The sequence below is a fragment of the Homo sapiens genome, chromosome 1, assembly GCF_000001405.40.
Source record: "Homo sapiens chromosome 1, GRCh38.p14 Primary Assembly".
Lineage (NCBI taxonomy): Eukaryota > Metazoa > Chordata > Mammalia > Primates > Hominidae > Homo > Homo sapiens.
In genome coordinates, this window is record NC_000001.11 from 49,361,556 (window position 1) to 49,379,124 (window position 17,569).

The 17,569-nt window shown below is 37.9% G+C and overlaps 1 protein-coding gene and 1 long non-coding RNA gene across 11 annotated transcripts in view; both read right to left on the reverse strand.

The window, feature by feature from the left end:
• The window catches only part of AGBL4 (AGBL carboxypeptidase 4), a 1,501,444-nt gene that overhangs the window by 839,045 nt on the left and 644,830 nt on the right, over positions 1–17,569 (reverse strand). The gene's annotated exons all lie outside the window — the stretch shown is intronic.
• AGBL4-IT1 (AGBL4 intronic transcript 1) overlaps positions 12,646–17,569 on the reverse strand; it is a 97,885-nt gene continuing 92,961 nt past the window's right edge. The window contains exon 4 of the long non-coding RNA NR_046839.1: positions 12,646–12,789. This is a non-coding gene — a long non-coding RNA (AGBL4 intronic transcript 1). The remainder of the gene's footprint in view (positions 12,790–17,569) is intronic.

Consider the following 17,569-nt stretch of genomic DNA (forward strand, 5'->3'; position numbering starts at 1 on the left):
GCTCAGGCAATCCACCTGCCTCGGCCTCCCAAAGTGCTGGCATTACAGGCATGAGCCACCGTACCTGGCCAATAAGTACTTAAAAATACTTTTTAGATTATAAAGCACTTTCAAATGTGCTAAATCATTTAAAGTTTAAAAACCCTTTAACAAAGATATAGTCTTCCTATTCATTCGCCATTTTTCACTGTCTCCCTACACACACACACACATACACACACACGCACGCATTACTTAATCTCTTCTGTGTTCCTTTAGCTGATTGTACCCAGTCTCATGGACCATGATAACTTTTAAAGTTTACCTCCAACCCTGGCCTCTCCCATTGAGCCCGATTCCCATATTCAACTGTTTAATCAATATCTGTAATTGAATGTATAATAGGTATCTCAAATCTATATCAAAACAGATCTCTTTGATTTCCTCTATGAAACTTGTTTCTTCTCCATTTCCTCACATTAATTAGTAGATGCCACCTTCCTTCCACTTGGATGCTAAGGACAAAAAAAAATAGTCAACCTTGATTTTTCCCATTTGACATCTCCTGCATCCAGTCTATCACAAGTACTATGATCTCATATGAATGTTGTTGTAATCTGAATTTCAGTGATTTCTATGTAGGAAGTGCTCATATAGCAACCCTCTTATGTGACCCAGATGTGGGTTTCATCTGGAAAACACTACAGAGAACCCCACACAACTAGTAGAAATTGCAGATGATTTTCCCTACCTTCAGGAATGACTACAACCAGCCTCTCAAATTTATAATGCAGAAGCAAGAAGTAAGCATCAGTATCTATGTTCCCATATATTTCCAAGCTCTTGTATGTGTCAAACTTTTCAAAAAATCCAACTATACACTCCAGCATGGGCAACAGAGCAAGACCCTGTCTCAAAAAAAAAAAAAAAAAAAAAAAAGAGAGAATCTAACTACTCTCTGACTGATGAGAGTCTGAGAAGGACTGAAAACTTTCTAGAACTCAGCAAACTTCAGCCGAGGGAGTAAGAAACCAGTCTTTTCTTTGCGCAAACACCCACACTCTCCCTCTCAGAGCTCGTTTAGGACCCACCTCACTTGACTAGGATCCTTTTCTACACCAACAATTTCAATGACTCTGCTTTGAATTTCTAGTCTTCTCTTTACATAGTATGAAATTATATGATTGGGTAAAGATCTCAGCACCAGGTCAATCTCCATTTGCAGGTCCCAAAGGAATGTATCCAGTAATGATCTTTAGAATGTGGGTGTCTCAATTGCATATGGGCTCACCTTTGGAATCTTAAGTGAAATTCTGAGACAAGAGAAAATGTCTTTTCAACATTAATTGTAGGATAATCAAGTCTGAAGATAGAGGCAGATAATGAAACAAATTTTGGACATACTGAATTTGAGGTGTCTGGGACTCTTTCCAGTTTATTTGTCTAGACATCCAGCAGCTGCATATAAGGGTCAGCAACTGCATATAACAGTCAAGGTCTCCTGGATGGAGACAGAGATGGAGATGAAAGCCATAGCATATAGATGGTATATATGACCCATGAGAGTGGGAAAAGAATATGAAGCGAGAAGACTAAAGACAAGCTTTAGAAAACACCATAATTTAAAGACTTGTTAGCACCAAAAATGTGACAAAGATAGGTTTGAGGAAAAGAAAAATTAAATATGGCACTCATATCTTCATTTCTGAAGAGGTATATATTACTGTCTGTTCTCTTCATAAAGCAGATTCTTACTGATGTCACATGGGCCTTGTCTAATGAGGACCCCAAAAGTACACACGGTTGGCTGGCCTAGAGAGCCCAGCTGATATTATTTAAAATTCTACTGTGTTCTTCATTCAGCAGAGACAGTGTGTCATTTCCATATTTGTAACAAGCATTAATGATACTTGCACAGATGACAAATGTCTTCTCTGGTGAAAAATTAATGCACCACAATATTTTCCCTACCTGGGGTTAATGAACATGTCAGATGCTGAAAATGAGTTGTTTGAAACTAAATTACTATAATCTATATTTAGAAGATTGCCACTAGGGGGGAGTTACGGGTATATGTGAGTGGATATATTTGAAGTTCTCTTTACCTTGAGTCTTAATTTTCACAAGGCCTTAAAAATACTAACTTGCTCAATAGTCTCACATAAAGAAGAAACAGTCCATCACATTCTCTACAATGTTGGATAGAACTCTCCTGAACAATTATTCTCATTTATTCATTCATTCAGTGAGTAAACAAATATATAGAGTACTCATTATGTACCAGGCACTCTGCTATGTACTAGGGATAAAGAGATGAGTAAGACATGATCCTTGCCCTCAAAGAGCTCATAGCTGTACATAAAAAATATAACATTGCAATTAACTGTAGCGATGGTTGGGAAAAACACAGGGGGGCTGTGGATATAAAGAGATAGACTCCCTAATCCACCTGGAATCTTTTCTGGAGGCTGTGATGCCTCAGATTGAATTCTCAATGACAAGTCAATCTGTGTCAGGTTCAGTAAGCGGGAAGAAATTACTGTAGGCAGAGAACAGAGTTGTGCAAAGGCAGAGAGGTAGGAGATGATAAGGCCGTTTGGGAAACTGAGTGCCTATAATATTGTATAACAAATTAATTAATGGGAGACCATTCATATTTAAAAAGGACTCTATTTAAAAATACATTTAGTGTATATGCTTAATGCTTGTCCATATAGTGTAGTATAGGGCTAAGGGACATATTATGACTCAGGCAGACCTGCACTCCAATTCCAGCTAAACCTCTAGACTACATTGGAAATATTGGATGAGGTCCCATAATCTCTCTAATCCTCAATTATTTAATCTATAACACAGAAATATTTACTGTATTATTTATAGAGTACTATGTACCAACAAGTACTTTAATTATCTAATTTAATCTTCAAAACCACCATGAGAGTAGTTTTTTTTTTTCTTTTTTGAGACATTGTCTCTCATTGTTGCCCAGGCTGGAGTCAGTGGCAAGATCTCAGCTTGCTGCAACCTCTGCCTCCCAGGTTCAAGCGATTCTCATGCCTCAGCCTCCCAAGTAGCTGGGCCTACAGACGTGCACCACCACACCTGGCTAATTTTTTTATTTTTGGTAGAGACGGGGTTTTGCCATGTTGGCCAGGCTGGTCTTGAACTCCTGGCCTCAAGTGATCTGCCCACCTCGGCCTCCCAAAGTGCTGGGATTAAAGGCGTGAGCCACCGTGCCGGGCCCATGTGCGTACTTTTACTTAACTTGCTTTACAATGAAGAGCTAAGGCAGATAAATTAAGTAATTGCCAAGCTCAAACAGATGGTGAGTAATGAAGGAGGAATCCAACCCAGTAACGTGACACCATCCCCTGCATTTTCAACCACTATACTGAACCTATTGTATGAGATGGTTGTAAGTTCATGCATGTGAAATGGTTAGCACCTGTTCCTGGCACCTAGTATATATAAACGATAAGTATAAATAGTCCTACTCCATTATTACTATTTTAATATGAGAGATAACAATTATTGTTAGTAATTGTTATTATCCTGTGGTTGTTATATAGATCAAATGAGAGAGGAGACTTGAAGCACATATAAAACTGTAAACCAATAAGCAAACACAAAGATTTATTTTTCTAACATTATCTTTGAGATAGCAGGCCATGGCTTAGAGACATTAAAGAAATGGCATGAGTTTTGGAATCAGACAATACTGAGTTTGAAATAAATCTCTACCATTTAATAGTATGTGGATTTCCACAAATCAGTTCGAACTTCTAGGCCTCATCTGAACCATGGAAACAATAGTAATAATGATAAGAACAACAATAACAACATATACCACTTAGTGTTATTTTATGGAGTCAATGAGAAAACGTCTATAAAGAACCCATTATAATACCTGGCATAGATAGGATAGCTGTTCAAACAATAGAAGCTATGTATTTATTATTATAAATAATAATTTATAATAATTCTGTTTCACAGAAGGGCTAAATTATAATGATAATAATGATAATATTATAATGATAATGACTTATTATTATCATTATAATTTAGCCCTTCTGTGAAACAGAAGTATTAACTCTTTGAATACAAATACTTGTTTGTTTTTCCTAGATATTCCTGTGGGTGATAATTATGATTTTTCAATACCTTGTGCCACTACCCTCTATTTCAATTCCTTGATGCAACTTTTTCACCTCTGCTTGTCTTTGTTTTCCGTTTCTTCACCAGCACAGAGAGGGTGCAAGAAAGAAGAAAAGTTGGCCTCAGAAAGATCTGGAGTTGAATCCTAGCTCTGTTACTTACTAGGTAGTAGACAATTAGAAAGTTACTGAACCTCTTTGAATGCCTGTCTGTGAAATGAACATGTTAAAAACCTACAAGACTGTAAAAGAGCACTGAATGAGATAACAAAAAAAGTACCAAGAAAAGGCATACTTTTAGCAGCTGGAAGGAAAGACACAGATTTTAAGGATTCAAGGTCCCCTTTGTTTCCCATGCTTAAGACTCTCCTACATCCCTACTTCCTTCTCCAGCAGCAATGATAATTCAACTCAACTTTCAATGCTTAAGAAAAATATCATTGCTTCTAGGCGATTTCCCCTCATTCTTCAAAAAAAAAGATGGATGCCTGTCTCCTCTGGGACCTTAAATCCAGGGATTATGTCTGTCTTGATCATTGCTATATCCTTAGGTCCAATAGCAATGCTACAAGCTCAAAAATATTTCATTGATGAATGGATGACAGAATGGTGAATGAATGAATGAATAATTGTTTTTCCTCTTCCTATCCGCTATTGTACCTGGCACAATGCCTTCAAAAAGGTGGCTATTTAAAATGAGATGTCTATAAGAAGGAGAAAAAAAATCATCCCTCCATTTTGGCAGATCAAGTAATAATTTTTTCCACCATGAGAGAGTCTAAACAGCACAATTACAAAAATCTTAGGGGTGTAGGAGTTATAACCATCATAAATTATACTTTTTATTCCCTTTGAGAAATCCTCCTGATTTATTACATTTACTTAGAAATTGTCATAGCTTTTTCTGAGACACTTATCTGTACCCTCCAATATTCACTCCATCAAATGAGTGAGGTGGTGGTGTGGTGAGAGCAGACATTTCGGAGTACTAACATCCCAAATGAGTTCCCATGCTTAGGAGTCTTGAAACATTAGACACCTATATCATCCATATCTAGGCTCAACTTGACCTCAAAAGAAAGCTTCTTGCTGCTTTTCAAATTTGCTAGATAATAGAGTCTTGCCAAAGTTTTCTAGACTTAGAAAGGTCTTCCTTTGGCTACAGCTGATGCAGAATTTTTGCTGGAACAGGAAGACTCAGCTATAACAAAAAGCAGGCTAGAGGCAGGAGGCTCTGAGAGAAAACTGACATTCTACTTGGAATGGCAGAGGCAAGACAAGCTAGGTGAGGCACAGACATAGACATTTATACCTTTCTGAATGCTAGGCTTTGGCATGCATGATAACTTGCAATTTTCCCATCTGACATCTGGAAGCTGCCTAGGTCCAGCACAAAACAGGATGGATAATGACTAATGAAACAAACAAACAAAGAAACAAACAAAAAGCAGTGCATGTCACTGGCTGATATAGTGATACAGCTTGGATTTATCCCCTCCAAATCTCATGTTGAAATGTGATCTCTAATGTTGGAAGAAACTGGTGGGAGGTATTTGGGTCATGGGGGTAGACCCTTTATGAATGGCTTGGCATCCTTCCCATGGTAATAAGTGATTTATCATGCTATTACTTCATGTGAGATCTAAATGTTAAAAAGATCCTGGCACTTCCTCCCCTCTCTCTTGCTCCCTCTCTCTTCATGTGATCCACTGGCTTCTCTTGCCATCTGCCATAAGTGTAAGCTTCCTGAGGTCCTGACCAGAAGTACATGTTTGTGCTATGCTTCATGTATAGCTTGCAAAACTGTGAGTCAAGTAAACCTTTTTTCTTTAGAAATTACTCAGCCTCAGGTATCCCTTTATAGTAACACAAAGTAGACTGATACACTGGCTGAAAGAACCAGGCTTGGACAGGGGCAGAACTTGTTCCAAAGATCCCACCATCGTGTGCAAGCCAAAGTCTTCCCTGGTCAATGAATTGTACTGACATGATCCTAGATGTTTGGGTTCTTACGACGGAGGAAGAAAAAAATGTTTTTCTTAATTAATCACTTTTTATGTTTTTATTGTGGTAGAATTCACACAAAATAAATTTACCATTTTAAATTATTTACCAATTCAGTGGCACCTAAGACATTCACAATGTCGTGCAACCATCATCTCTATCTAGTTCCAGAACATATTAATCATCCCAAAAGTAGAACCCATCTACATTAAGTATTCATTCCTCATCGCCCCCACTCCTCTCCACCCATTGGCAACCACTAATCTGCTTTCTGTCTCTATGGATTTGCCTATTATGAATATTTTATAAAAACGAGATCATAAATATGTAGTCTTTTGTGTCTGGATTCCCTCACTTTGCATATTTTTCAGGGTTCATTCATGTTGTAGCATGTATCAGTCTGTCATTCTTTTATGGCCGAATAATATTCTACTATATGGATATGCTGCATTTTGTTTACTCATCCATTGATAGACACTGGGGTTGTTTCCACCCTTTGTCTATTGTGAATACAGCTGCTTTGAACATCTGTGTACAAGATTTTGTTTGAAAACCAGCTTTCAATTCTTGGGGGTATATACCTGGGAGTGAAATCACTGGGAAATATGGAATTTTATGTTTAACTTATTTTAAACAACTAAACTGTTTTCTATAGAAAACACTTTTTTACGTTCCCACCAGCAGTTTATGAGGTTAATCTTTTAAAAGTATTTATTTATATGTACAAAGCACTTTATACACCTTTTCTCATGTTATCCTTGTATTAATTTCTATGAGGAAGTTACCATTATCATTTTTTTTACAGATTAAAGTAAGGCTCTGAGAGATTCAGTAACTTGTCAAAACCCACGTCTCTGTGGTTATAAATCCTGGACTTTTGGCCACAAACCTAAGCCTCCTTTCAAGCCCAGGCACTGTGGCTTCTCTGACAGCTCCAGGAGAAGCCCTGGAATACATTCCTGGCTCTTTCTGTCCCACCTATCAAAGCAATCTGTGGGTTCTTTTAGTCAGTCTAATATTTTTATGTTGCTATGCATTGGATATTTTCACAGGTAGTATTATATTTAATTACCATTCTATACTTAGAAGAAATTGAGGCTGGCCGGGTGTGGTGGCTCATGCCTGTAATCCCAGCACTTTAGGAGACTGAGGCAGGTGGATCACTTGAACGCAGGAGTTTGAGACCAGCCTGGGCAACATGGCAAAACCCATCTCTAATAAAAATACAAAAAATTATCCAGGCATGGTGGCACACGCCTGTATTCCCAGCTACTCAGGAGGCCGAGGCAGGAGAATCGCTTGAACCTGGTGGGGGCGGAGGTTATGGTGAGCCAAGGTAGCACCTAGCACCACTGTACTCCAGCCTGGGCAACAGAGCAAGACTCTGCCTCAGAAAAAGAGAAAAAAGAAAATGTGAGGTTAAGAGATGATAAGTAATTTATTCAAAGTCTCACAAAATTAGCAGCACACAAAGGTTTGCTGAAGTCAAGACTACTGCTCCTTCACTAGATAGATCTGTAAGGTAGTAAACAAATTTAATAAATATCCCAGCATAACCTTTAGATATCTTTAGAAATCATCAAGAGGTCAGCTTTTAAAAAACTATTCATAACAGCATAATCCTTTTTACAAAGCAAATCTTACGAAGAGGAAATTCTGCTTCTGGCCAAACAGTGTAACAGGGAATAGATTTAACTTCTTGTCTTAATCAACCATAAAATTAAAGCAAATGTATGAAACAATCATTTTCAGATACTAGAAAAAAGGCAGCAAAGAACAGTGACCCCTGAAAGACAGCAAACAAACAAGGTGACCCTATGATTACCCAGTTTATTATCTAAAGGGAATGTTTCCAGGCCTTGGCACAGAGAGGTGAATCAAGTGGATTTGGGGGATCCTTCTGAGTTGAGAAGATAAATTTGGGAGTTTAGGTAGGACAAAGTTGCTAAAATTCACAGGGTCCTCTCAAATCTTCACCTGAATACTGCTCAGTGTATGGGTATATGGAAACTAACCAAAGATGAGGAAAAAAACACTGGAAAGGAGTAAGCAGAAAAATCCTCAGAGTTCACGGCTGGGAATAGTTCATATTACTAATTGTGATGATTTATTTTATATGTCAACTTAGAGAGTGCTTATGATGAAATTAACATTTACATTGGTGAACTTTAGATAAAGCTCACGAAAATGAAGACTTTAAAAATTCTCCATAATGAAGGTGGGACATACCCAATCAGTCAAAGGCTTAAATAGAATGAAAATACCACCCTCCTTGAGCAAGAAGAGTGCCTTCAGATTAGAACTGCACATCGGCTTTCCTGGGTCTCCTACCTGCCTGCCCACACTGCCAGCCTCCATCATCACATAAACACACACACACACATATATAATTAGATATTATATATATAATTACAATATATAATATATTATTTTATATTATAAATTATAATAATTATATATATATTATATATAATATATAATTGTATGAGCCAATAAACTGTGTGGATAAAATATATATCACATAATATATATATGCAGAGAGAGAGTGAGATTGATTTTAAGGAACTGGCTCACGTTATAGTGGAGGCTGGCAAACTTAAAATATACAGGGCAGGCCAGTGGACTACAAACTCAGGCAGGAATTGAAATCACAGTCTTGAGTCTGAAATACATCAGGCAGACCAGCAGGCTAAAAATTCTGGCAGGATTTCTATGTTATGGTCTTGAGCTGAATTCCTTCATCTCCAGAAACTCACTTTTTTGTTCTTAAGGTCTTCAGTGGATTAAAAGGGGACCACCCAAATTATTGTGGGCAACCTCCTTTACTTAAAGTTAATTGATGTTAAATCCCAATCACATCTAGAAAATACCTTCACAGCAACATCTGGACTAGTGTTTGACCAAACAATTTGCACCACAGCCTAGCCAACTGACACATAAATTTATCTATCACACTTAAATAAGTTACTTAATATCCTTGTGTGCTTCCAGTTCTTCATTTGTCAAATGGGGTTAATACAAGATTTTACCTAACAGTATCATTATGAGATAAAATATATAAAATGCTTAGAATACAACACTGAGATCTGATCTTCCTGCTTCTATTTTCAATACCTTCAAACTGCCTGTTGTGATAGTTAATTCGAACTGTCAACTTGGAGGGTTTGAGATGAGTTAGATGAGGTTAACATTTAAGTCAGTGAACTTTGCGTAGATTACCTTCCATAATGTGGGTGGGCCTCATCCAATCAGTTGAAAGCCCACAGAGAACAAAAACACCAAATGCTCCTACACCAAGAGGGAATTCTTTAAAAGACTAGTTTCAGATTTCACCTGTACCATCAGCTCTTGTGCATCACCATCAGCCAGTTTTTGGACCAGAATTGCACCACAGGCTCCCCTGGGCACCCAGGCTACTGGCCTTCAAAATGGAATTACACCATTGGCTCTCCAGACTGCCAGCCTCTAATTGTATGAGCCAATTCTATATAATGAATCTCTTTAGATAGATAGATAGAAGATAGATAGATAGATATATAGATAGATAGATAGATAGATACATACATACATACATACATACATACATACATACATACACACACACACATCCTTTTGGCTGTTTCTCTGGAGAATCCTGGCTAGTATATATGTTTACTTGCTATCTCCTCTGCTAGAAAATAAGCTTTGGAGGGGAGGTAGTATGCTTGTTGTTTTACAACTGTACATACGTCACACATAGTTTGTACTCAAGAAATATTTTATAAATGATTAAAGCTGCACTTGTCCCACTATTTTTAGTCTTTTTTAGTGGGAGTGCAGTAAACTCATTTAATCCTCTTACTCCATCATTAAACAGCAGAATTACATATACCTCCCTAACACTTTGCTTCTCTAAGAAAACACTTCTAGGTTGTTTGGCTGTTCCTCACATGACAAAATCTTTGCAATTTTAGTCACCCTTTCCTGGCCCTCTAGAGTGTATCTCTATCCCCGTATATGTTATAAAATTCTAGGTAGAATGGGATAATGCAGAAGACTGCAGAACTTCGATTTCAAAGCATCTGGATACCATTTTCTTGGAAATTATCATTGTGTGTCAGTCAGAGCCAGTGACTTTTCAAACTCTGTGTGTGTGTGTGTGTGTGTGTGTGTGTGTGTGTGTGTGTGTGTGTGTGTTTAAATAGACACCTCTATTGTAACCCTGATGGTGTCTCAGACCTCCAAAAGGAAAAGCAATACCAAATGTTCCTTACATATTTCTTTCTACTGGAACAAACTTCGATGAAAAATATACTGGAGGATAATGAAATTGATTACATCTAGTAAATTCATGGTATCATAGGAGGTAAAAAAAATCCTATTTCAGAATCTAGATTTTTGATAAATGGGTGGCATATCCTGCTTAGAAGACATTACAGAAAGGCTGATGTTTTGAGTGGTGGGTTTTAATAATTAATAAATGAGCAATGTTTTCCATTTTGAGCATGCAGTATGCATCCCAGAACGCTCAAGGCTCATGTTAAAAACAAAAACTAGTTTTTTATCTCGGTTAAAACATAGTTGAGCATAAAAGAGTCTATATAGTAAGTAACAATCTCTTCTGTGAAGTCCTTGCTCGAATCCTATTCTGGGGCTTATTTTTCATCCATGTCAGTTCAGTCACTCTTGTGACTTACAGTATAATACACAAGCTCCTTAGCAAGCCATTTAAAGTTCTTATTCCACATTATCTTTTCAAATTCCTTTCCCATAAAGCCTCCTACCAATCCCTCCAATCTTGGGAACTTTGTTCATGCTGCTCTACCCATGACCCGAACTTACCTTCTATTTTCCCTGCTACTGATCACTGTTTATTGAAATTCAGTTCATCCTTTAAAGCCCAGTTCAATCTTTCTTTCTTTCTTTTCTTTTTCTTTTTCTTTCTTTCTTTCTTTCTTTCTTTCTTTCTTTCTTTCTTTCTTTCTTTCTTTCTTTCTTTCTTTCTTTCTCTTTCTTTCTCTTTCTTTCTTTTTCTTTCTCTCTCTCTCTTTCTTTCTTTCCCTCTCTCTCTTCTCTCTCTCTCTCTTTCTTTTCTTTTATTTTTTGAGACATGGTTTCCCTCTATTTCCTAGGCTGGAGTGCAGTGGCATAATCTTGGCTCACTGAAGCCTCAACCTCCTGGGCTCAAGCAATCTTCCTGCCTCAGCTTCCTGAGTAGCTGGGACTATAGGCTCTCACCACCATGTCCAGCTAATTCCTGTATTTTTAGTAGAGATGGGATCTCACTATGTTGCCTAGGCTGGTTTTGAACTCCGGGGCTCAAGTGATCCTCCTGGGTCACCTTCCCAAAATGCTGGGATTATAGGCGTGAGCCACTGTGCCCAGCCCCAGTTCAGTATTTCATTGCCTTCACAAAGTTCTTCCAGTTCATACACTAAGAATTAACTACTACCTTCTACACTCTGTATCTCTCTGAATACAACTCTCCCACTTTGTCCTGTATAACAGTTATTTAGATATTTAAATATTTTGTTCACCCATTAAACTGAGAACTCTTTGTGAGCAAAAACCGTACTTTATTCATTTCTATTCTCCTATCACTTAACTCATGGCCTGGTATGTGGTATATGACCAATAGATGCTTAATAAATTAAGTAGAACTGATATCTCCATGAGGAGTAACCCCAAAACATGCCTGCGATAATTCAGGCAGGGATTTGCCCCTATAATTTAAAACAATGGGTTTTCTGCCCAAGCTAAGTCCTAAGAAAGAGCAGAGGACTCACTAATAAAATGCTAGAAAATAGGCCATAATATTGGAACTGAGAAAAACAGGAACATTTTTAAAGAAACAATTCTGGAAGAAGAAGGTAAATAGGTTAACATAGAGGGCAAAACAAAGGGCAATAGTACAAAACAGTTCAAAATAAATTTGTTATGGCTTTTATATGTACATATTACTATCCTCATTTTATGGAGAAAAAAATTGAGATTTGGAAAAGTTATATAATTATTCAAAGTTCTCAGGAAGAGAAACAGGTAGATCTGGGATTTATACCCAATTCTGTCTGACTCCAAAGTCCAGGATAAGACACTATTAAAAAAATATCTCCAGGAATCTTTTTAGAGGAGGAGAAAATACTCCAGAACCATTTTTCTTTTACAGGTTTATACCACATTTTTAAGGGTAGCCTATCATGATGACAAGTGGCCCGGTATATGGTATTGGGTCAAAGCTTCTCCAAACCTTGCCTCAGTTCAGATTGTGTTTTGAATTGAAGGCATGCTTTTTAATTTTATTTATACTATACATAAAATTATATTATGTTTCTCAATCAAAATCATAAAATAACATCAACAACTATCTGATATTGAGTACTACCATGAATCAGGCACTGTGCAACTCCCTTTAGATGTATTAACTAATTTAAAAAATAATCTTGACATGTTCCAGTATTTTCCAGGGTAGTAGTGGGCCTGAGTCAAATGAGTAGTTTCCCTGTTAATACTCTATCACTTCAAAAGTTTTAGGTTTCACACATGTATTTATTCATGCTTTTTTCTTTGAAAAAAAATTACTGAGCTCAGATAATGCTTCTATATCCGAAGCCAGTTGTCCTACTTTTTCAGATTCTACTTCTACTCTTCAGCTTCATTCCTACTCTTCAGAATCCTAAAAAAAAAAAACAAAAAACCTTGGTTGTAATCAGGGGCATTTGATGCTTTCTCCACCAACTTGGCTCCAAGATATATTCACCTGTACCATCTCCGTCCATAATTTCCTGCCTCAGAAATGCTCCTAGACTTGCTTCTCACTGGTCCCTTTCCAAAGCCCCTCATTTAACACTCAGGAAACATTCCTTGAGTGACCACTCTGTCAATGCACAGGAGAGGATACACCTATAATTTGGAATGTAAGACTGAGTCAAATGTAGTGCTCTCAAAGAATTTAGTCGAGTAGGAATCATCCTTGACCCTTCTTTTCTTTTTTACCTTCATCATTTACATCTTAATATCCCCACCAGCCACTAGATTTCCTATATATTGCTTATACCCAAACACCTAGTTCTATACTCACTGCCACTAGCACAAAACAGGCTATGTCACTAACCTCCTTCCTAAACCTTCAGTAATCACTTTCATTCTTTACACTAAAGTCAGAATGGTCTTTCTAAATCTTTTAGTTGACCATGTCATACCTACAGTTAAACCTATCCAGTAGCTTCCCAGTAACTATAAGATCAAGTTTACACTTCTCGATAAAATGTTATGGCAAAGGCAATTCTATTTCCATCTATTTCTATTGCTTTACCTTTGACCAACCTCTCTCTTTCCCTCCAAAACACTCTTTTCTTCAGTGTTATCAAATTACTTGCATTTTCTTACATGAACTATGCTCTTTCATGCCTCTGGACCTTTGCATAGGCTATTTCCATGGCCTGGAAAACTACATTCGTTTGTAAAACAATTCTGAACAACTGCTTTTGCTTGGGGCCTGTGAGAATAATGATATGATTCAGACATGATACCTGCCCTTAAGAAGGTTGTCAGTGGGTAGAAGCATATGGGGGAAAGTCCCAAGTGTCCTCTACCCTGATTCCTATACATGGCTCATTGTGTCTTGCATATCCAGTTATAGAAAGTGCCATTTATCCTTTCCCATGACACTACTGCCTGTCAACTGGATAAATGAATAAAACTGCTCATGGGATGTGATTTCTGAGAAGTGATGATTTTTTTTTCTAAAGGCCACCTTTACCAACCTTGAAAGATTGCTTTAAAAGTCACGGTGCCCTTTGATGCCTTCCTGTAGGACAAAGGAACCCAGAGCTTATCTGCATGTAGACATTCTATTAATACATAATGACTCTTAGGACAAGAAGGAAATGTAAATGCATTTCCTTTTTGGACATTTCCAGCAAAACCAAAGAAGCAAAATGGCCTCATCTTAATGAAAGAGACTGCTCTTGGGAATGTGTTTAAGGGAAGGTTACAGAAGCAATATTTGAAGAAATATGGACAAAGCACAATTCATCATTTCTTCACAGGAAAGTGATTATCAGAAGAAAGGTAGCTTCAAGGCCAGTTCTATCCTGCTTCACAAAAGATTCCATATACAGTTCAAGAAAGGATAAAAAAGAATGCCACTCAATGAGGCTATTTCACGCAAGGCCTTCTCTGCCTTTCTCGACAGAGTCTGACCTTTCTTACTTCTGATGACATTGCCTCTCTCCTTAGCCCATGCCCTTACACTGTCCAGGAAAAGAAATGTCTCCCAAGATCCCACTCTCACTCCCCAGAAGAGCTAGCTTTCTAAAACAAAAAATCTGTGTTATTTCTTTGATTCCTTCAGCAATGTCTGCCTGTATATTGTATGAAAAGATTAAGAGTCTCAGCATGGCATTTTAAATCCCTCTACATCTTAACTCCACCTACCTCTGCAGCTCCATTCTTGCTGCAAACTCTAGTAAACCACTATTTGGTGCTCCTGTACCCACCATTTCATACCTTTATGCCTTGGTGCTATTGCCTCAGTCTGGAACACCTTTATTCCCTTTTCATGTTAGTTGTTCACTGCCCTTCCAGATCTATTTTGTACTCCTCTCAGCCTGCTTGTATCCTGGGAGGCTGGGAGGTTAACCTCTACAGATGACATCATGTAGGACCCCCTATCCTTTCTTCTCTTCCTATCTAGATTTGGCCAATGAAAAGCACTGGTGGGAGATTGGAGAGCAGGAAAAGAAAGAGGTAGGATACTTATTCTGTCCTACCTTCACAAGGCCACATAAAAGAGTTGTTACAGTTCTTCCAAGACTCTAGTAAGAGCTTCCTCCCCTTATCCCTTCAGTATTTGGGGTGGAAACAGCTTTTACTATTGCCAGTCCCTGGATGCTCCTTCATCCCTGATGATTCTCTTAAACCTGAACTAATATTTGTAAACAGTCTCTTTATTAAACTCTATTCAGTTACTTTTTTGGTATGATATATGTCTTCTGTTGACTCTGATGACAAACCTTCCTCACCCAACTAATCTCTCAATCTTTAAGATCATTTTAGAGGGGATCTTCCCAGAAATCCCCATGGCTAGCCTACAGAGTTAATTGTTGTCCCAGATCCCTACTTGTATTGTTATCACATACTTACCACATTGGATTTTAATTGTCATGATAAAACATAAATTCTCTTAGAGAAAGGACCTCGCCCATATTGTTTATGCTGCTTACCCAGCAATTAGAATGGTGCCCAGAATATTTTAAGTGTTCAATAAATGTTTGATGAATGTTTACTTGAAAGTAATAAGTAAGTCTATATTATCTCTACATCCTCTGCTTCTGGTGAAGAGAAGATAACTCATATATACTACTTGAATTCAACTTTTCTTAAAAGAAAATGAAGTAAAAATTTCCGGAGTAGGTATGAGAGAGGAAAAGTAAAAGAAAACTTTTGTTGGTAAGTGAATATAAAACAGTTAAATATCATATGAACACCTACTTTCCCCCATCTTGAAGGAGATGGGGGCTAAAATAAAGGAAGCATTTAGAAATGAGAGTGACACAAAACTATGAGACTAGAAAAATCAGGACAGTAATTATGTACTATGTGCCTTCTATGTTCCAAGCTCTGCATTAGTGGCATTGAAATAATTCTTATCTCTTTTAATTCTTCCATCAACCTACTGAAGCTGATATTATTATATTACCAAAGAGAAAATTACTTCCAAAAATGTTAAGTAACTTATTCATGGACACCCAGCTAGTAAGTGGCAAAGCAAAGATTCAAATCTATGACTGTCTGGCTTTAAGTATAGTGCTCTTTTGCTTTTAACACAGGGAAGAATCTTCACATGTCATTCCCTACTACCTTCAAACTGTTAAGAACCATGAAGAGTCTGATATTTTATCCTACATGCAAGCTAGCAAAATAACCTCCTATAGTTTCATGGATACTAGGAGAAGATACAAGACTCCTGGGTCACAAAAGACTTATAGCAATAGCAGTAGGTAGAATATCAGCTTTTATATTCGTTTTCCTGAGCCCCAAATACTAAGAAGCAATGCAAAGAGGGCCAGGCGCATACAGCATGAATTTCGTTACTGGTGAGAATCCTGAGCTAAGATAATTCAAATGTTTTAAACTGGATGTAAGCACACCTGTACCTGGCTCCAGAGGGATATAGTATTCTCTCTACCAGGAATGATCACTCTACAAACACCCTGAAAAGACAGTCTGAAACAAAGGCAATCAGTTCCATGCTTGTGAGACACATAAAAATGTAAGATATGTACATCTTACATGCCTTGTCTCCCAACACAAACTTCATGCCTTGTCTCCCAACACAAACTTCATGCCTTGTCTCCCAACACAAACTTCATGCCATGTCTCCCAACACAAACTTCATGCCTTGTCTCCCAACACAAACTTCCTGTCTGGCCCTGATGGAGAATTTCACGACAACATTGAAACAAATGTAAGGCCCTTCTGAGTGTGAGGATTTTTGAATTGTACAAGTAACATATATGAAGATACTCCATCCATGAATAAGACCTTAAAAAGAAAAAATGTTGCAGGATGGGGGTTGGGGAGTACAGGATTTTATGTTTCACAAAAAGAGTTCAACTACCAGCCTGGCCACATATTTTCTTTGTGATCTGGGGACGTAATCTATATCCCACCTCTTAATCTATCTCATCTTAAATGTCTTCATCTAAAAAGTATAAATAATAGTGTCTACCTCTAAGTACCACTGTGAAAACCTAACACTGTTGAGGAGATTACACTAGGAATAGTATCCGAGGAGAGAGACCACTGATTTGAGGTAAGGAATGAGAGAGAGAACCCTGGTGAGAGGGAGCAGTGGGTTTCCATGTTTATCAGTTTGGGTCATTTGGCAAGAAAAAAAAAGATAGCATTAGATGTGCTAGAGAGTTTTAGGAATAACTGCACATTAAGAATAAGAAGGAAGGAGCAAGAGTAGGCAAGGTGAGCTTTCAGACAGCGTTACAAGTCTGTCACCTGCGAAAGGAGAGAAGAAAGGAAGGCTTCTGTAGGAAAAGCCCCAGACTGTGATGTAGTTCAGAGAAAGTTTCAGCCAGGCCAATGGGAAATCTGAGCACAAGTTGCCTGTTAGAAGTTTCCCTCACTGAGTAGTAATGGTCCAGCTCTATTACCCTTACCATACTCAGTCATTGGCTGGGAGTAGCCCGAAGTATGTGTGGTCTGGTGTGTTACCCAGAAGTTCACTGTTAATGATTCTCTCCAGAGAAGGTTTTTTTTAAAAGGAAGGTATGAGCAGCACATCATTGTGGCCACCACCACTCTATACCCATATATCAAACTGGAAGAGGACTGAGGCCTCTGGATAAGGAAAATGTGGTAGGCCTATGAAGACTAGACAAATGCGAAATTTGTATGCCCTAGTATAGTGTGGAAGCATCAGGGGGTCTAAACTCAAG